Source organism: Homo sapiens, chromosome 9 (genome assembly GCF_000001405.40).
Source record: "Homo sapiens chromosome 9, GRCh38.p14 Primary Assembly".
In the NCBI taxonomy this organism is placed as follows: domain Eukaryota; kingdom Metazoa; phylum Chordata; class Mammalia; order Primates; family Hominidae; genus Homo; species Homo sapiens.
Window position 1 is genome coordinate 124878187 of NC_000009.12, and position 20660 is coordinate 124898846.

A 20660-nucleotide genomic window follows, 5' to 3' on the forward strand; every position below is an offset into this window, starting at 1 on the left:
TTCATTAAATTACGTATATTTATTCACCCAAATCCAGTCTGGGAAGGTTCTTTCTGAAAGAAAGACAAACATTCTCTAGCCCTTGAGGTTGGCCTTGGAGTGTTAAATATGAGACACAAAATACCAGATTTAATGAGTCAAAGAAATACTGACACACCAAACTAGTAAAATCCATTGTAGTTGCATCTGGATTGAAGAGCTTTAATCAAAAAGTGTATTGCACCACAGATGAATTTGCTACAGCAGTTTTCAAGAATACAATCCCTATTTACAACATGGAAGGAGAGCTCAAGATCCATCGCTCGTATAAAGGGCTATAGATACCGTCGCTAACACAGAAAGTTTTATACAAGTCAAAGTGCATTAAATCACTTAGAATATTTATTCCACTCTTCCTCTTAAAGCTGAAGGAAATTCAACATGCAGGAGGAAAGCCTAGTCAGTGAAGCCTCCCTAAAGTGAGTACAGACCTAGGAACGGGCCCCACAGCTACACCTGAAACTGCCGAGGAGTGGGGCCTGGGGTGCGTGTGGGACCAGTTCAATGGCTGGAGAAGCCACGGAGGCAGCGGATGGGCTTCTGTGGAAATGTAGCTGCCTTTGGCTGGCTGTGAGCTACCCAGTCTTAGAGATTCTTTCCTGGAACAGTTGAAAAAGGAAATCCTACTTTGAAAAAAGGCTACCTCTTACCCATCAAACTTGCAGAACAGAAGAGACTCCTGTTTCGTGTTCCCACCAGGTAAATGGAAATTCGTGTTCTAAACAAGGGATAACTGTCTGCAAGGAGGAGCCAGAGGAGGAGGTTAGTCACTGGAGAAGCGGCCTCTGGAAGGCAGAGAGCCTGAGCTGGGACTAAGGAGATGCTGCCCTGACTTGGTTCTTCATGGAAATTTCGTTAGGTTAACGTTGCAAATGCGTGTTTTTCTGTGACACATTTTATATACCTATTTTGGCCCTAAGCATGATTGAGAAATACAACTTTCCATCACTGGATAATGGATAATAAATTTAGAGGCTCCAGTTATTAATTTAGTTTTTTATTTAACCAGTGAAACTTTCATCAAACAATAAACGGTTTCCTTTTAGATTCAATATTGTGGCTTTTCCAGAACCAGCATGTTCCCTTTCCTCAGTAAACGAGGAATCCATAAAACAAGTTTTTGTTGGTTACTACCAGAGTCATGTGCATGCTACAAGTGCTGCAGCCAGCTGGGCGCCGTCTGGGTGTAGTGTCATTTTAAGTATTTGGGGTGGGATGAGGGAGAGAGAGCAGCTCCACAGACAAGGCAGACTGCCCCAGTGTCTCCATCGAGGCTGGGGGACAGCTGCTGCCCCCACTGGAGACAGCGGACTGTCCTTCAGTAGAAGACAGGTGGTCTGCATCGCCCAGCGGCAGCGCAGCACAGAATCAAGACAAAGCACACGAGATCCCACTGCACTTCAGAGGGAGCAGTGCCAGAGTGCGAGTGAGAAGACAAAGGAACAGGAATCCTAGTTTTAGGAAGAATTTCCTCTGGACGCTCTGATTTTAAGAACACCAGTTAAATGGATTTTATAGTACAGAAGACATGTTTATAGTAGTGAAGAACTTCAGCTATAAAAAATAGTTTAAAATGGTTTACCAGCAACCTATCCAAGACAAGTACATTCATTAAAAAGGCAATTGAGTGTATTTGGTACTAAGGGTCTTTTCATATATTTGCTAGTTTTCTTAAGTAAAGTGGAGATACTGTCAGAAAGGTGCATTTTCTCATTCATCCACACCGACCCTTAAAGATGGATCCTCTAAAGTTCTAGGTGGTTTGAGAGACAGGGTGAAAGAATATTTTCTTGAGAGGAAGGGATAAAAAGCTTCTAACTCATCTGAATTTTTAAAAGCCACTCCCATAGAGTTCCCATGGAGTTGGCTGTTCCTGGCAGAGGCAGGTGGGTTTGGCCTGCTGGGCACCATCTCAAAGGGCCGTCTCTACCTCCAGTAGCAGCGCTACATGGTGACTCAGGTGTGCCTGCCAGATGCTGATGGCTTCAGCTGTAAGTGCTACCGTGAAGTTAGAGGATTCAGGTGCAGATGGGGTGCTGGCTGGAGCTGGGATATTAGCAGCACTGTGGAAATCTGGGTAGTGCCAGGACCCTCCTGTTTGGTGACCAGAATGACAGGATCAGCTACCCCCTGAGGTTCAGGTCAGCCTGCAGGGAAGTGGGCCTTAGTCTTGTAAACAATGTTTAGACACTTGTACAAAATACTGCAGTTACAGTGATTAAAAACCCACCCAGACTGGTGTGTCAGTGTTCTTTTCACAGAAAAAGTGTCAACCCACGGAGCTCCATCCTTGGGTAGTCCCCTCTAGGACCATGGTATCCGAGGGTTTGAGATAGACGGCCGGATGCTGCCCTTGGGAGCTGGTTTGGACCCAAACCATGACATCTGCATTTGAAACAGAAAAGGCTTCTGAGATGCAAATCAGGACTTGGTGCCAGGGAAACTGAACCGCCCCTCCCCTCCCGTGAGCCTGTCACTCCTGCCCCCCACACATCCTGCCTCTGGCTCTGAGCAGAGCAAGAAGATGGTGCCAGTAACCAGTCTGCAGGCCCGTGCTCAGTACAGGAGGGAAATGAGAGAAAAACACTGAGTTGACAGGAACAAGGTAGTGGAACTGCAGGTATTTTTTCCTATTAGAGCATTTATGCAGACGCTTTTGGAATTTGAGTGCCGAGCCAGACCTGGGGCTCTCGATAAAGCGCTATCAATGAAAATGCTTTGAAAAATACGTGGCCTGTTGGTCAAGTACAGCACAGACATTTGGGCACAAAGGATGTCATCGCTAAAAAGTGCTTGGATCAAGTTCATCCAAAAGCAGCCAAGCTGATCATGCAGCTGTGCTGGTGCCTACACTCGGGTGTGGGTCTAAGGGGTCTTACACTGCTACTGCTGGGATAACTGACAACGTATCTTGGAAGCTGGAACAGTAGACCAGAGAACCCTACCTTATATTCCAGAGTTTCCTTGAGCATGTTCTCCTCCTCTTGGGAAAAGTTCAGCAACACTGACACAGCTTTTATAAGATGAAAAGCCTGAAACACAGTAAGTTTTGCTGCCATAGGCCTTGGTGAAGGTGAGGCGGGGTGGGGTCGGGGGAGCTACGTGGCATTTCCTGCTTGCTTTGGTTAGCAGGACCAGGTGGTGGGTGACGCTCTGGCACTCTGAAGTTTGGCAGCAATGATAGGTTCTTTCTTCCCCTGCATCCTCGGGGGCCTGGCAGGCTTAAGGGAACTGCCCCAGCAGCTACCCTACCCTTTGGCAGGACCCAGGAGCGATGGGTGGATTCCGTTCCCGGCTTCCGGCCTCTGGCCTCAGCACCCAGGCCAGGATTTAGAAGTGGAGCCTATGTCTCCCACCAGGAGCCAGTTCCTGCACGGCCTCTCCCGCCAGCCGCTCACTCCGCAGGCCAACGCCAGCAGGAGAAATGACTGGGTGACCACAAGGGCGTCAAACCAGGATGTACGAGGAAAAGAGAGAAAGGGGCTGGGCAGGGGTCCCTGCAGGACAGACTGTAGGGCGGGGCCTCAATACCCAAAAGACACCTCAAAAGCCCTTTACCTCGGATTCGCGACAAGACATGAATTTTAAAACCACATGTTTAAGGTACTCAAAGTTGATCTCGCGGGCATCTGTCAGGTCAGTGTTATTCGTGACGGAAGGCGCCATGTTTGCCATCTCAGGTCCAGGTTTCTCCCGGACTTCGAAGAGCTCATTATCGGGTCTGATTTTCTGAAAAACCAGTGGGAAAGATGCTACACCGAACCCTCTGAGACAGGTGGAAAAAATCACACGGGAGGTTCACCTGGTCCAAACTATGATCACTATCGTAGGGCAAAAAGGGCCCCACCTGGGAAGGAAGCACCTCCAGGTAGGCTTGAGGAGGGAGTGACATCGTTTGGGTAAATTCAGACATTCCGTTTTCCATGGCAAGAACACATGTCCCTGGGGCCTGAAGCTGCTCGCATCCCGCATCAGGCCAAGCACTCTGCCACACACACACACTGTTAGAGCATCACTGCGCTGGCGTGGCAGGCAACCCCACTTCCAGATGAGGATGCAGGCTCAGAGAAGGCAGGAACAGGGCTGTAGCCACGGAGCTGCTTCAGAGGTGCATGCAGGCTGGCAGGCTGTCCCACCAGCTAACGTTGGATTGCCCAGCGATCCCTTGCAATTAATTAGGGGGTGGAGGGAGCATAGTCAGGCGGCGAGGGACCTCAGGAGGACCGGGCACAGGCAGCAGGGGGAGTGCTGGGAAGTGGGGCCAGCTCCCATGCGAGTACTCACCAGCTCCTTCTGCAGAGTCTTCCGGAGCTCCAGCATCCGCTGCTGCATCTGCTTTATGGTCTGCGACAAGCCCCACCCCACAGAAAGCCAATCGTTAGATGCATGTTTCACCAAAGGAAACAGACCCGAAGATCCCACGGGATCCCCTGTACACCTGTGAGGAGCCTCTGCCCTGAGAAGTCATCCTGAGAGGCTGGTGCTCAGCTGTCGCATGCTTGTGCCTACGACTGTTGGGCTGTCATCCCTCTTGGGCCACTGCTTTCACACGCTTGAGTCTCCACGTCCCACAGGGGCCACAGTCCCTCTGTGTTGACATGAGTGCCCCAGCGCTGCCTATCCCTTCCCGGGGGCTTGGTCCACCACACACAGCCCAGCTGGAAAAGGCTCTGGACCATAGATTTTGCCCTCAAAATTCAATTTTTATGCTGTGATCCCCAAGTAGGATACTTAGGCGAGGACTTACGGTTCTCATCACTACTGCTCTCTTGAAATACATGAATAATCTGCAATGCTTATTTTGAACACCCTAAAAAGATCATGGTTTTTCTGCACAACTCATCAACATCCAGTTTTAGATAAATAATTTGGAAAATAATTTTTTTTTTTTTGAGATGGAGTCTCACTCTGTTGCCCAGGCTGGAGTGCAATGACACGATCTCAGCTCACTGCAACCTCCGCCTCCTGGGTTCAAGTGATTCTCCTGCCTCAGGCTCTAGGGGAGCTATTACAGGCACACACCACCATGCCCGACTCATTTTTGTCTTTTTCTTCTTCTTCTCCTTCTTTTTTTTTTAAGATGGAGTTTCACTCTTGTTGCCCAGGTTGGAGTGCAATGGTGCAATCTCGGCTCACTGCAACCTCCGCCTCCTGGGTTCAAACGATTCTCCTGTCTCAGCCTCCCAAGTAGCTGGGATTACAGTTGTGTGCCACCACACCCAGCTAATTTTATTTTTTTCAGACAGAGTCTTGCTCTGTTGCCTAGGCTGGATTGCAGGTGACATAATCTCAGCTCACTGTAACCTCTGCCTTCTGGGTTCAAGTGATTCTCCTGCCTCAGCCTCCTGAGTAGCTGGGATTACTGGTTCCCACCACCACGCCCGGCTAATTTTTGTATTTTTAGTAGAGACAGGGTTTCACCATGTTGGCCAGGCTGGTCTCGAACTCCTGACCTCAGGTGGTCCACCCACCTTGGCCTCCCAAAGTGCTGGGATTACAGGCATGAGCCACCGCACCCGGCCTTTTTTGTTTTCTTTAAGAGACAGCATCTCACTATGTTGCCCAGGCTGGATTCAGTCTTTGAACTCCTGGGCTCAAGCAATTCTCCCACTTCAACCTCCCGAGTAGCTGGGACTACAGCTGTGCGCCACCACGCCTGGCTAATTTTCTTTGATGTTTAAATAGTATTATGAGCCTTACATTTATTACACATTCCATACACATTCCATTATTCACTAGACAGGCTGAGACATTTTCTCAACTAAAAACTTCATAATATAGGGAAAAAAAATTTTTTTTTTTTTGAGACGGAGTCTTACCCTGTCCCTGAGGCTGGAGTGCAGTGGCACGATCTCGGCTCTCTGCAACCTCTGCCTCCTGGGTTCAAGCAATTCTCCCACCTCAGTCTCCTGAGTAGCTGGGATTACAGGTGTGTGCCACCACGCCCAGCTAATTTTTGTCATTTTAGTAGAGACAGGATTTCACCATGTTGGCCAGGCTGGTCTCGAACTCCTGGCCTCAGGTGATCTGCCCGCCTTGGCCTCCCAAAGTGATGAAATTACAGGCATGAGCCACCACGCCCGGTTTTAAATAAAAATTTATTCAAAGTCTCTGAATGGTAATATATCAAAATGCATTCTTCCATGTACCCCCAGTCCACATCCCCATTCTTGCACAGCGTGGCTGGAATTGTAAATACATTTTTCATGTATCAGAGTCATCACTGCCTCCTCCAGCTTTCCTAATTGTAATGTCTAATGTGACAGGAACTCCCGGGGATGCCCTTGTCTTACTGCGTGGCTGGGCTTCCACTTTAAACAAAGCTGGGATAAGCTTTGTTTCCCCAAGCGAGGAATCCCCATTGTTTCTCTTGGGGATAGAATGACTGAGTCAGAAGACCACAGTTTCTAACTTCTCCACTGTGAGGCATCTTAAGTGACCTCCAACACACCCAATTTTGTAAAATGGCACCTTGTGGCTTTGATTTCTATTCTCTTGGCTGACCATGAGGCTGGACACTGCCCCAAAAGTACATTGGCTACTTTATCTTACGTTATTTTGGTTTCCTGGATTTTCCTCACTCAGTAATTCATCTAATAGTTACTGAGTCCCTGCACTGTTCTAGGGGCTGGAGAAACGGCAACAAAAAAGTCAAAAGTTCACCCTCGAGGGGAAAAGAATCAATAAACAGGCCAGGTGTGGTGGCTCACACCTGTAATCCCAGCACTTTGGGAGCCAAGGCAGGCGGATCACAAGGTCAGGTGTTCCAGACCAGCCTGGCCAACATGGCAAAACCCCGTCTCTACTAAAAATACAAAAAAAGCCAGGCACAGTGGCTCACGCCTGTAATCCCAGCACTTTGGGAGGCCGAGGCGGGCAGATCACGAGGTCAAGAGATCGAGACCATCCTGGCCAACATGGTGAAACCCCATCTCTACTAAAAATACAAAAATTAGCTGGGCGTGGTAGCGCGCCTGTAGTCCCAGCTACTTGGGAGGCTGAGGCAGGAGGAGAATTGTTTGAACCCGGGAGGCGGAGGTTGCAGTGAGCTGAGATCGCGCCACTGCACTCCAGCCTGGCGACAGAGACTCCATCTCAAAAAAAAAAAAATTAGCCAGGCGTGATCGTGGGCACCTGTAATCACAGCTACTCGGGAGGTTGAGGCAACAGAATCGCTTGCACCGAGGAGGCAGAGGTCGCAGTGAGCCAAGATCACGCCATTGCACTCCAGTCTGGGTGACAGGGGGAGACTCTGTCTCAAAAAAAAAAAAAAAAAGAAATCAATAATCAAATCCGCAGTGTATCAGAGGGTATGAAGAGGCATGGAGAAGAGGCAGCATGGTGAGGGAGGGTGGGGTTCTGGTGGTGAGGCTGGTCAGGGTGGCATAAAGAAAGTGAGGATGACCAGGGAAAGGCACTTCCAAACGGAAGGCTCAGCAAGTGCCAAGGCCCTGAGGTTGGAGGGTACTTGATGGGAGTGAGGCCCCTGTGGCTGAGAGGGAGTGACGAGGACAGGAGGGGCTCAGCTGGCAGGGGTAATGAGGGGCCACACCACACAGGGCTTTGCGGGCCTCTGCAAGGACTCAGGCTTTCATAAGAGATCAACAGAGACAGGCTTTCATCAGAGGGCTAAGACAAGAGTGCCAGGGAAACCAGTTAGAAGTCTGATACCATCTTCCAGAGAAGAGACAATGGTAACCTGAAGCAGGTGGCAGCGATGTGAAGTGGTGGATTCTGGGAAATGTGTGAAGGGGGTGCTGAAGGAATCTGCTAACAGCCTGGATGCTGGTAGAGAAAGAACCAAGGCAGATAGGACAACTCCAAGGCTTTTGCCGTCTACTGAGATGGGAAAGGTGGCATGGCAGCCAGGGAACACAGTGAAGCCGAAGTGTGTTTTCCGATGTTTTGAGTTTCAGACACCTTAGAGCTCATGTGGAGACAGGTTTGTGAGGCTAGTGTCCGTGGAGCTGTCTGGGCGGGAGGTAGGGAGGGGAGTCAGCTGCGCAGGGCATGGCTGAGATCGCAGAGGAGGGCGCACAGTGCAGAGAAGAGCTGTGAGGGCTGCCCTTGTGCACGGCGGGTGGCAGTGGGAAGGAGACTGGCCTGTCAGAGGAGACGGAGAAGGAGCAGGCCATGGATGGGAGCTTCAGGAGGAGGAAGAGACGCCTGTCCAAGGCTGCCAACAGGCCAATCAGAGGGAAAATTAGGAACTGCCTTCTGGATTTAGCAGTGCAGATGTTACTGATGAGCTTGACAAGAGTGTTTTTCTGTGGAGTGGTGGAGGAAAGGTTGAGAGAGAAGAGGAGTGGGAATGGAGATGGCAGATATAGGAAGTTTTAACATGTCAGCACGGCAGGTGAGCAGAGACGCAGCAGCAGGGCAAAGGGGTGCAAGCCGAGGGCTTTCATAAGGTGCCTGCACAACGGCGCACCTCTCAGTAGATGGGACGATTCCAAGAAAAAACGACCTAGGCAAGAAGGGGGAGGCGGCTGGCGTAGTGCTTGGGGAGGTGGGGGAACAGGATATGAGGAGAGGCTGTGGCACGTCCCTTCTCAGAGAAGCAGGAGGTGGGAGCACCAGGGTGGGTGAGGCAGGGTTGAGGTGAAGAGAGGAGAGAAGGTAGACATGAAGTTGGGGTTAGGGGCAGAGGGGCGTGAAGGCCCACGGATGAGGTGGGGTTGCGGGGAACACTGGGCTGCCCGCAGGACCATGGTCCTGAGCTTCGAGGGGACCTGAATGCCCAGGTGATGGCACTCTCCAGCCAGGTCTGCCTCCATGGCTGCAGGCAGGGAGCAGGGAAGAGTTGGGTTTAGCCCAAGTTTAACCAGAGCTTGGCTAGGACAGTCTGAGGAAAGGGAGAGAGGCCAGAGGACCGCAGGTGTCGGGAAGGCAGTGATCCCGTGACAGACACAGACCCGACGCTGAACAAGGAGGCAGGAAGGCAGCACAGCTGGTAAGGCCAGAGGCTCAAGGGACGGAGGTCCTAGGGGACAAACGGGAAATTTGCAAACAGGCAAAACGAAACTGTGGGGTTGAGCAATGCGAGCTGAGGTGACACTAGGGAAAAAAGCAAGGCAGTCATTGCCAGAAGGGCTGGGATCGGAGTGACTGACAGGGCTGGGAGGGGCTCAGGGGGCTGGGCTTCTGGGATGCTGGCAATATCCTGATTCGCATCGGGGTGGTTACATGGGTCTGCTTTCTGTTAATTCACTGAGACACACATTTGTTTTGTACACTTTCCTGTGTGTATTTTTTTTTTCAATTAGCAATAATCGCGCCTCGGATAGACCTCATTGGCTACGATACTGCCACTGCTGCAAAGCTTCTGTATTTTATATTAGACATAATGAACACTTTCCCCCTTGTAAAAGATCTAAACACACACACACACGTGCACTCACACACACAAACACACACACAATTTGGGGGCAGAATGTCAGGCCAGAGCAATAGCCGGCTGGCACACTAAGCTTCACAGGACACTTTAAGAACCAGGATTAAATGAGATCCTGCATTTATATAGGTGGAAAGGCTGGAGGGTGAAGGGTGGGGACCATGACATTTATTGAGCCTCTACCAAATACCAGAGAGTTTATAAAGTTTATAGGACGGTTCACAAATACCTTCATTTCATAACCCCCTCCTCCCACCCAAACAAACCCTTAAAGGCAGCTATCAGTGCTTTACTTCCACAGCTGTAGAAAGGAAGTATAGACGAAAGAGGACTGTCGCTATGGCCTGGCTGGGGACAGCAGAGCTGGCAGGGAACATGCAGGCTTGCAGCTGCCCAAGCCTGACACTTGTCCAGTTCTCCAGGGGGTGGGGAGAAGAGGGCTGGGGAGGGTGTGGAGGAGGACAGTGCAGGAGGAACGGAAGATCAGGAGGAAGGCCTTTGGGTGAGAGGGGTCATGGTTGCCAGGAGGTGCGGGGGAAACCACAAAAACCTCCAAGGATGGACTGGGTCATTTTAGGCCTGAGGGTGAGGACCTGGTGGAGACAGAAACAGCCATGCAAAAGGCATCCTCACCTTATTTTTCTCCAGAAGTTGCTGCTCCAAGTCCTGTTTCTCCTTCTGTAGCTGTGTGAGATCCATGGCCCCAACCTCACCATTTGGTGTTCTTCCTGCAGTTGGAAGCTGGAACACAGGGTCCTGCATGGCCCTCGAGGTCACCTACAAGGTGGCAGCAGCAAATTGAGAGCCAGGACAGGTCAGGTGAAGCTGAGCCACAGGTACACAGGGAAGGGGAGCTAGACTCGTCCCTTAGGTATGGGCGTTGTGCTCCAACAGGCAACTGGCCAGGAAGCAATTCCTGGAGAAGATCCAATGCCCAATGCCCACAACTAATCACACGACTAGTCTTTGCTGGGATGAAGGGGCTTGCTCTCCCCTGCCTACCGACAGGGGTGCCATCTGTGATGGGCTCTTCAGGACTCATGGCCTCCTAGCCATATGAGTGCCCTACTTTATTTATTTATCTATTTATTTATTTATTGAGACGGAGTCTTGCTCTGTCACCCAGGCTGGAGTGCAGTGGCGCAATCTCGGCTCCACCAAGCTCCGCCTCCCGGGTTCACATCATTCTCCTGCCTCAGCCTCCCGAGTAGCTGGGACTACAGGCACTCGCCACCACGCCTAGCTAATTTTTTGTATTTTTAGTAGAGACTGGGTTTCACCGTGTTAGCCAGGATGGTCTCGATCTCCTGAACTCGTGATCCACCCGCCTCGGCCTCCCAAAGTGCTGGGATTACAGGCGTGAGCCACTGCGCCTGGCCAAGTGCCCTACTTCAAAGAAAGGACCCTACATGCAGGGGAGCGTCGTGTCCACCATGTGTCCCCACTGCTGCCTCCTTAGGGGCACTCTCGGCACCTGCCCTGCATCTTGCTGTAGCACCCATGCAGGTGCAGCTGGGACTTACGTGCGACTCATTGACTGAGAGTGCTTCGGCCTGCAATGGGCCCCGCAGCCTCAGCAGGTCCTCCTGCTCCGCGACCACTGCAGCCTCCTCCGCCTTGAGGGTCCTCAGGGCCTCCAGCTCGGCCTGCAGCTGGTGTATCTGCAGCAGGGCAGAGTTGTGACCTAGGTCGGGGAGGAGGGGAGGGGGCACTGTGAGCCCAGTGACTCCATGCTGCTTGGTGGCAAGGCCGTCACAAGGCAGGATGCTGGGCCTGAAAAGGAGAGAAGGCTCAGCCAGGGACCGACTCCTCACCTCGCTCCAGCTGGAGAATCTCCTGCTCTTTCTGGAGAAGCACTTCGGTTTTTTCCCGCAGATTCTGTTCCTTCTCGTCTATTATGGCTGTCAGGTTAGCTGCCTTGGAGAGAAAAATCAACAAGAGGGAAGGTTGTGAGCAGTGACTCCATCTTCCCACAGAAATCTCCACTTCCCCGCTCTCCAGGGTACACCACGAATCCCTCCCTGAAGTCCACGACCCAGAGCAAACCCCCAGCTAAGCTCTGCTCCTATGAACATGCACAAATCTATTCTCCTTGGTAGGGGCCCTGCACAGGGGCAGTCGCCTCCCACTGCCCCCTGGCCAACAGTGGGTCAACCAGAGACGTGGCCATTCTGCCCAGCCCAACAAGCTGTCATAACTTCCATTTCCTGAGTGCCTGCAACATCCCCAGCACTAGACACGCATTTGATATATGTTGCCTCATTACAGAATAGTTTCCCAGAGGTGTAAGTAGAAGGCTAGAGTCCTCATCAGAGGAGACTCAGATTTGTTAAGGACTTACCAAAGGCCTAAAGCCACTTAACTAGAAGCTCTGGGGTCAGATGCAAAGTCTACCTTCAAGGGAGGCTTTCCCATACTTCCTGCAAAAACTCAACCCAACCTTACGTGGCCTCTGGGGCAGGTGGGCAATGATAGGTCACCTCACAGAATTAGAGCCCACTAGGCCCGTGGACATGGACCACTTTCCAGGTAATTATAGTTGAAAAATCAGAAAAGGGCATCCTATGGGGTAAGAGTTTCTTTATAACATTTGTCTCCCAGCTTCCTAGAGAGCACAGGGGCCCACGCAGCTGACTGCATTCCCTGAGTCCTGAGTCTACTACCCTACCCTGGAGAGACAGGCCCTCTCCAACAGTCTCACGGCAGGATGGGCCTGCTGCCTGTGGGACTGCAGGGGGACATCGCCCCTCAGCGTGAAACAGGGCCCACCTGTTGCTGGAACTCTTCCCTTTGCTTCCGCACCTCCTCCAGGGCTTGAGCCATGGCCACGCTCACAATTTCTCTTTGGCTCCATTCTTCCTACAATGCAGAAAACCACTGAGCCCCAAAACTTAGTTCACAGTTTTTTAGCTGTATGCCACGCAAGAAGCCCAGCAGACAGGGCATGGCTTTGCAGAGCCAGACCAACATGCTCCCCACTTCCCAGGCTCCCAGCCTGGCCCCTCCCTGCCATGCCCTCAGTATCCCTCTCAGAGCTATCCTGGCAGGCAACCCACCGACTTCTCTGGAAATGGCACACCACTGAGGATCGATTGCCCCACGAGCACCCCCGCCAGGACCCACACCAAGGCTAGGGGCCTATCCTGAAGAGCTGGTCTAAGGACAGTAGCCAAGAACAAGAAGTCAGACTCGCAGGCCACGTGAATGGAGTGGGGGACTGGAACAATTGGTTATGGAAAGAAGAAGAAGTAATGACCAGGGACGGTGGCTCACACCAATAATCCCAGCACTTCAGGAGGCTGAGGTGGGAGGATCGCTTGAACCCAGGAGTTCAAGGCCATCCTGGGTAACACAGTGAGGATCTGTCTCTATAAACAATAAGAAAAATTAGCCGAGCATGGTGTCACATGCCTGTAGTGCCAGCTACTCAGGAGGCCGAGGCGAGAGGATTGCTTGTGTCCGGGAGGTCAAGGCTGCAGGAAAATGGATTCCTTCAAGCATCAGCTAGTGAGGGGCTAGGCTGACAAGACAGAACTGAGTCTCTGTGGCTCCAAAGTCTGCCCTAGCGCCTCAGAGCCACCTAAGATCCAGCACTGTGGGAGGTGGGGTTGACAGTGCCTGCTCAGGTTCACTGTGGCACAAAGCAGGGCCTGCAGCTTGCAGAAGCCACCAGGCCACCCATGCACGGCTGCCTCTGCGATGATTCTCCAGGATGGGCTTAGGGAACAGCTGCTTTGAAGAGCGTGGATGGAGAAAAACAATTCTAAATGTATGTGCACCTAATAGCAGCACTTCAAAATACATGAAGCAAAGACAGACAGAACTAAAGGAAGAAAGAGACAAATCTACCATCGTAGTGGAAGACTGAGCACACCCTTCTTAGTAGCTGATGGAACAAGTAGACTGTTAAACTAAATATGGCCTTGATCTGTCTCACCCAGAGCTTAGCGATTTTATTCACCTTCAAATAATCCACCTCAGGCTTCAGCAGTCCTCGCTACTATGAGAGGGTCCCATTCTTTTGTTTTTTTTTTTCTTTTTTGAGATGGAGCTTCTCTCTTGTTTCCCAGGCTGGAGTGCAATGGCGCAATCTCAGCTCACTGCAACCTCTGCCTCCTGGGTTCAGACGATTCTCCTGCCTCCCCCTCCCGAGTAGCTGGGACTACAGGCATGTGCCACCACACCCAGCTAATTTTTGTATTTTTAGTAGAGACCGGGTTTCGCCATGTTGGCCAGGCTGGTCTCAAACTCCTGACCTTAGGTGATCTACCTGCCTTGGCCTCCCAAAATGCTGGGATTACTGGTTTGAGCCACTGCGCCCAGCCTCCCTCCCTCCCTTCTTCACTTCATTCCTGAGACAGTTTCATTTTTGTTGCCCAGGCTGGAGTGCAATGGCACGATCTCAGCTCACTGCAATCTCTGACTCCCGGGTTCAAACAATTCTCCTGCCTCAGCCTCCCAGGTAGCTGGGATTACAGGCATGTGCCACTATGCCCAGCTAATTTTTGTATTTTTAGTAGAGATGGACTTTCACCATGTTGGTCAGGCTGGTCTTGAATTCCTGACCTCATGTGATCCATCCGCTTTGGCCTCCCAAAGTGCTGGGATTACAGGGGTGAGCCACCACGCCGGGCCCATTTTATTTTCTATTTCATTAATTTCTGTGCTTATATTTGTTATTTCTTCCTTGAGTTTGATTTGTGCCTTCTTCTGACTTTTTGAGATGCATACATGGCTCAATTTTCAGGCTTTCTTCCTAAGAGATGCCACTGAGACTGAAATTTCCTTCCATGCACTGCTTTAGTTATACTTGACCAATTTTGATCCACAGTATTTACAAAATCATTTATTTCAAAATATTATAATTATTTTTTTGAGACAGAGTTTTGCTCTTGTCACCCAGGCTGGAGTGCAATGGCACAATCTCAGCTCACTGTGTGAGCCACTGTGCCCAACTTTATTTCAAAATATTTTAAAATTTCCATTGTGATTTTTTTCTTTGACCTATGGGTTATTTGAAAGTGTATTTCAGGCTGGGCATGGTGGCTCACGCCTGTAATCCCAGCACTTTGGGAGGCAAAAGTGGACGGATCACCTGAGGTTGAGAGTTCGAGACCAGCCTGACCAACATGGAGAAACCCCATCTCTACTGAAAACACAAAATTAGCCTAGTGTGGTGGTGCATGCCTGTGATCCCAGCTACTCAGGAGGCTAAGGCAGGAGAATCGCTTGAACCCAGGAGGCGGAGGTTGCAGTGAGCCGAGATCACGCCATTGCACTCCAGCCTGGGCAACAGGAGAGAAATTCCATCTCAAAAAAAAAAAAAAAGAAAGTGTATTTCTTAAATGTAAACATATAAGAGTTTTCTATATGTTTACATTTAAATTTTTATGTTTTTGGAAATGGGTTCTTGCTCTATCACCCAGGCTGCAGTCCAGTTTGTGATGATAGCTCACTGCAGCCTCGACCTTCTAGGCTCAAGAGAGCGTCCTGCCCCAGTCTCCTGAGTAGCTGGGACTACAGGTGTATGCCTTGATGAACTGTGATGAAACCATCACCCTAATAAAAATAGTAAAAATACCCATCCCCCAGAAAGCTTCCTCCTGTCCTTTTGTAATTTATTGTATTAATTTCAGTTATTCTATTTTTCAGGTCTAAAGTTCTATTTGATTCCTTTTTTAAAACTGCTGTCTTTTATCATAACTATAATAATAGAACTATTCCACATCTTGCTGAAATTTTAAATTTTGTCTTTTATCTCCTTAAACATAGTAAGCATATGATATCTGAGCCCTTGTGAGTCTGTTTCTTTTGTGTTGTTTTGTATTTTTGTTTACCTATCTTTGATTTTGTTTTTTCTAGTCACCCAGGAGCACTAATAACCTGGGATCATTTTAATCCAAAATTAGCTAATGGGCTTTTCCTGGGCCACCCCGTGTCCTTCAGTTAGTGCAATCAAAGCTGGGGGCGGGGTGCAGATGGGGTGCTGGTTACTTCCCGTTCAAGCTTACTCCTAGCGTGTAGTCCTGTGGTGTGCCTAACCAAAGCTTTCAGGATCTCCCAGGCTGGATCCAAGCTTTAATAAAATTTAAACTCCAAATTTTATTCCCCTAACTCTGAGAAACTATGAAAAACTTAGATAAACTTCCAGCCTCTTCAGGATCAGCAGATACCACCACGGCAAAAGCTGCTTTGCATGCTGGACTCCCGTCCCTGGGCAGGATGGGCCATTCCTCAGTCCTGTAGGCTCCTACAAGCAGATGTTCTCTTATTTTGGCCAGTTTTTCTGGGAGTCCTCAGGTGAGCTGGTCTGAATTACCTAGTTTGCCTTTACTGCAAGTGGAAGCATCTCTCTAGTCTCATTTTAACCTGCTCTCGTCAACCATATTCCCTACGACTCTACGGTGACTATTCTTCCCAGCGTTGCCAACAAACTCAGTCTCGTCAAATCTAATGGTCAGCTCTTTGTCTCCTTTCTTGACCAGTTGGCAGCATATCACAGAGTTCACTACTCAATCCTTCTTGTAGCGCTTTCTGCCCTGTACTTCCAGAGCCCCACATGCACCTGCTTTTACTGCTACCCTACCTGCGGCTCCTTTGGCGTCTTCTCTGTCGGCCCCTCCTTTTGTTCTGAGCCTGTGCTTGTGGGTGTGGCCCTGGCCTTCATTTTGGCCTCTTTTCTATCTGCACTCATTGATAGCCATTTGGCTGTAATTTTGCCTATGAGCTATGCTGATTGATGGTTTCCTAATTTAAAGTTTTGTGTGTGTGTGTGTGTGTGTGTGTGTGTGTGTTTGAAATAGGTTCTTGCTCTGTCATCCAGGCTGGAGTGCAGTGGTACGATCTTGCACACTGCAAGCTCCGCCTCCTGGGCTCCCAAGCAGCTGGAACTATAGGCACACAGGCTTCCTAATTTATATGTCTACTCAGAATCTGCTCCAATTTTCCAGACTTGTCAGCCTACAGACTACTAGATATGCCTGTTGGGTAGGCCTCTGAAGCTCAACATGCCCAAAATGGAATCCACTCTTGACATACCTCCCAGGACCCCCATCTCAGTGAATGGTACGTACCCTATTCATTCAGTTACCCCAGTGGTTCTCTGCCAGCAGTGCTTTTGCCCCCACAAGACATTTGGCAATGTCTGGAGACACTGTGGTTGTCCTAAGTGGGGCTGCTACTGACATCTAGTGGGTAGATGCTCCTAAGCATCTTATCATGCATATTTGCAGCAAATACAACAAAGAACTTCCACAACAGAGAACCTCCACAACAGAGACCCATCCAAAACAGAGAACCATCCACAACAGAGACCCTCCACAACAGAGACCCATCCACAACAGAGACCCATCCACAACAGAGAACCCTCCACAACAGAGACCCATCCACAACAAAGAACCATTCACAACAGAGAACCACCCACAACAAAGAACCATCCACAACAGAGAACCACCCACAACAAAGAACCACCCACAACAGAGACCCTCCACAACAGAGACTCTCCACAACAGAGAACCATCCACAACAGACTCTCCACAACAGAGACCCTCCACAACAGAGACCCTCCATAACAGAGAACCATCCACAACAGAGAACCATCCACAAGAGAGAACCCTCCACAACAGAGAACCCTCCATAACAGAGAACCATCCACAACAGAGAACCCTCCACAACAGAGAACCCTCCACAACAGAGAACCATCCACAACAGAGACTCTCCACAACAGAGAACCCTCCACAACAGACTCTCCACAACAGAGAACCCTCCACAACAGAGACTCTCCACAACAGAGACGCTCCACAACAGAGAACCCTCCACAACAGACAACCCTCCACAACAGAGAACCCTCCACAACAGAGACCCTCCACAACAGAGAACCCTCCACAACAGAGACCCTCCACAACAGAGACCCTCCACAACAGAGAACCATCCACAACAGAGACCCTCCACAACAAAGAACCACCCACGACAGAGACCCTCCACGACAGAGAGCCTCCACGACAGGGAGCCTCCACGACAGAGAGCCTCCACGACAGAGAACCATCCACAACAGAGACCCTCCACAACAGAGAACCCTCCACAACACAGAACCCTCCACAACACAGAACCATCCACAACAGAGATCCTCCACAACAGAGAACCTCCACAACAGAGAGCCTCCACAACAGAGAACCATCCCCAACAGAGACCCTCCACAACAGAGAACCCTCCACAACAGAGAACCCTCCACAACAGAGAACCCTCCACAACAGAGACCCACCCACAACAGAGACCCACCCACAACAGAGAACCATCCACAACAGAGACCCTCCACAACAGAGACCCTCTATAACAGAGAACCATCCACAACAGAGAACCATCCACAACAGAGAACCTCTACAACAGAGAACCATCCGGCCTCAAACGTCAATAGCGCTGAGGTGGAGAAACTCTGAGTTATACAAACCAAACCTAGGTGTCATCTACAATTCCTATTTTTTTCTCATTCCTAAGTCCTAAAAGCTCCATCTCAGGCAGGGCATGGTGGCTCACGCCTGTAATCCCAGCACTTTGGGAGGCCAACGCAGGTGGATCACTTGAGGTCAGGAGTTCGAGACCAGCCTGGCCAGTATGGTGAAACCCTGTCTCTACCAAAAATACAAAAATTAGCCAGGCATGGTGGCACGTGCCTGTAGTCCCAGCTACTTGGGAGGTGGGGCATGAGAACTGCTTGAACCCAGGAGGTTGAGGTAACAGTAGGCCAAGATCGTTCCACTACACACCAGCCTGGGCGACAAAGTGAGACTCCGTCTCACATACAAAAAACAAAAAGCAAACAAAACAGCTCTATCTCTAAAATAAATCCTGATCTGAATACTTCTTCCCAAGTCCACCACTAATGTGCTAGTCACTTCTGGCCTAGATTCCTAAAAAGTCTCCTAAACAGTCTTCTTGCTTCTGCTCATGCCTCCCTTACCAAACATTCTTCACAGGCAGCCAGAGAAATCCTTTTAAAACAAAACTTCTCACATCACTTATCTGCTTAAGACCTGCCATAGCTGGTTAGGAGCAGTGGCTCATTCCTGTAATCCCAGCACTTTGGGAGGCCAAGGCCAGTGGATCGCTTGAGCACAGGAGTTTAAAATCAGCCTAGTTAACATAGCAAGACCCTGTCTCTACAAAAGAAAAATTAATAAATTTTGCACACCTGTAGTCCTAGTTATTCATGAGGCTGAGGTGGGAGGATTGCTTGAGCCTGGGAAGTTGAGGCTGCAGTGAGCTGTGATCACACCACTGCACTCCAGCCTGGGCAACAGAGCAAGACCCTGTCTCAAAAAAAAAAAGACCTGCCAGGGCTTCCCATGATTCTTTTTAATGCCTGTGTCCCGCCTCACCACCAGCCATGCTCTCCCCTGGCCACTAGCTGCAGCCACACTGGCCTCTGTGCTATTCTTTGAACAGACTAGGTTTTTTCCTGCCTCAGAGCCTTTGTATTTGTTATTTCTTCAGTCTAGAATATTTCTCCTCAAATATTCACATTGTAGGCCCTTCTGCCAGCATCAAAGCCTTCCCTAACTCCATATGGAAAAGAGACCTCTCCTCTCCCACCTCCCCATTGGCTGTCCTTGCCCTGCTCTATTTTCTTCATAGCATTTATTGTTAATTTGTAACTTGGTTACCATCTCTAGTTACAAACTCCACAAGAAAGGAACTTTACCTATTTTTTCCACTGCTATTTATTTTATTTTATTTATTTACTTTTTGGGACGGAGTCTCACTCTGTCACCCAGGCTGGAGTGCAGTGGCATGATCTTGGCTCACTGCAGCCTCCACCTCCCGGGTTCAAGTAAATCTCCTGCCTCAGCCTCCCAGTTGGGATTATAGGCGCACACCACCACACCAGGCTAATTGTTGAATTTTTAGTAGAGATGGGGTTTTACCATGTTGGCCAGGCTGGTCTCGAACTTCTGACCTCAGGTGATCCACCCACCCTGGCCTCTCAAAGTGCTAGGATTAGAGGCGTGAGCCACCGCACTGGCTCATTGCTATTTAATACATCCTAGCACTTACAGTGATGCCTGGCACTTACAGGACTCAAATGTTTATTGAAGGAATGCATGAAAAAAAAATCTGACTCCAAAGTCCATGCTTCTCATGATGCAATGCTACTACATTAGTACCTATGTCACTCATCAGATCTGATTACTGGAAGCTTACTAGGTGCAGGCATTCATCTATGGACACTCTCAGAGAAGACTGCTGCCAAGGGATCAATAAGATCTTTGAGTCATGACCAAGCTGGGCAAGTACTACAATGTCCCATTATCCAAGGTGCTTTGAAAGGGGCCACGGGAGTCTGGGGGCATATAAGAAAGTGACAGAATCTTTCCTCCTTTTTATCCAGTTATGTTTAGGGAATGAAAGAGGCATCCTCTGATTAAAGCTCCAAGTTTGCAGAAGAGAAAGTTTAACAATCCAGCAGATTGTTTCTTCATTTCTGTACATGGTCCCTGATATAAACAAGCAAAACAAAGGTCCTTATCATCTTTTAAGGCCTTGCTTTAAGGTCTCCCTGGAAATATCAGCAAGAGCAGTGTTTTGACAGCATGACTTTCAAGCAGCTGTTGATTCCACAGAGGAAGGGCTGGCCTCTGTGGTAGGGTGAAGTCAGACCAGCATCACCTCTAACCAACTATGCAACTTGCACAAACGGTTTACCCTCGGAACCTCAATGACATTAACTGCCAAATGAATGTAATTCTTCCTACTGTCCTGGATCCCTGAGAGAACTTAATGAAGTGGCAATTTCTGGCCGATGCCTAACAGAACTATTGAACAAATGCTAATTCTCCTCCTCCTGTACTGTAAGTATGAGAAGTGGGGCACTGTAAATACACATGTAGAAAACATGAACACTTTTATGAAACTTTGATTCAATTAGATAAATACCTTCAGCTTCTTTAGTTCAAATTGGTGATTTTGTAAAGAACGTTCATATTCATTCCTGCATTCTTTAAGGGCTGCATTTTCTTGCTCCAGTTGTCTCTGCCAATTCAGAAGAACACATATAAAAGAAGTCTTCACTACCATATTTCCCTGGGCACAGGGAGCATGGACCAGGAAGAAGGCATAGGGAGGAACAATATACATTTTAAAAGCCAATGGGAAGAAGCAGAGGGGACTGGTCAGAAAGTAGGAAGTCTCTGTGGAAACTCCAAGGAAAAAGAAAACCCATCTGTTTTGTTTT

At 49.4% G+C, this 20660-nt stretch overlaps 1 protein-coding gene and 1 pseudogene across 9 annotated transcripts in view, besides 2 other annotated features; both read right to left on the bottom strand.

Moving 5' to 3' along the window:
* Window positions 1-88: 88 nt before the first annotated feature.
* Window positions 89-20660, bottom strand: part of GOLGA1 (golgin A1) — a 69769-nt gene continuing 49197 nt past the window's right edge. For 6 of the 9 annotated variants that reach the window (XM_047423242.1, XM_006717063.5, NM_002077.4 and 3 more), the window contains exons 15-23: window positions 20363-20458; window positions 12203-12292; window positions 11248-11350; window positions 10957-11117; window positions 10067-10210; window positions 4324-4383; window positions 3598-3768; window positions 2985-3071; window positions 89-2424 (exon numbers count right to left, since the gene is read on the bottom strand). In XM_047423242.1, the coding sequence (XP_047279198.1) occupies window positions 2344-2424; window positions 2985-3071; window positions 3598-3768; window positions 4324-4383; window positions 10067-10210; window positions 10957-11117; window positions 11248-11350; window positions 12203-12292; window positions 20363-20458 (993 nt within the window). In that variant the 3' untranslated portion in view covers window positions 89-2343. The remainder of the gene's footprint in view (window positions 2425-2984; window positions 3072-3597; window positions 3769-4323; window positions 4384-10066; window positions 10211-10956; window positions 11118-11247; window positions 11351-12202; window positions 12293-20362; window positions 20459-20660) is intronic. The other 3 variants (XR_929766.2, XR_007061280.1, XR_007061279.1) reach the window with 1 other exon arrangement.
* Window positions 2598-3151: an enhancer, noted in NCBI's record as "H3K27ac-H3K4me1 hESC enhancer chr9:127643063-127643616 (GRCh37/hg19 assembly coordinates)". NCBI's record gives its function as "activates a minimal SCP1, AML or CMV promoter by ChIP-STARR-seq in primed H9 embryonic stem cells {active_cell/tissue: H9 hESC(primed)}" and the evidence as "EXISTENCE:reporter gene assay evidence [ECO:0000049][PMID:30033119]".
* Window positions 5937-6078: a silencer, noted in NCBI's record as "fragment chr9:127646402-127646543 (GRCh37/hg19 assembly coordinates)". NCBI's record gives its function as "represses an EF-1alpha promoter that drives an FKBP-Casp9 reporter gene in an ReSE screen in K562 erythroleukemia cells {active_cell/tissue: K562}" and the evidence as "EXISTENCE:reporter gene assay evidence [ECO:0000049][PMID:32094911]".
* RNU4-82P (RNA, U4 small nuclear 82, pseudogene) lies at window positions 9224-9363 on the bottom strand (annotated as a pseudogene).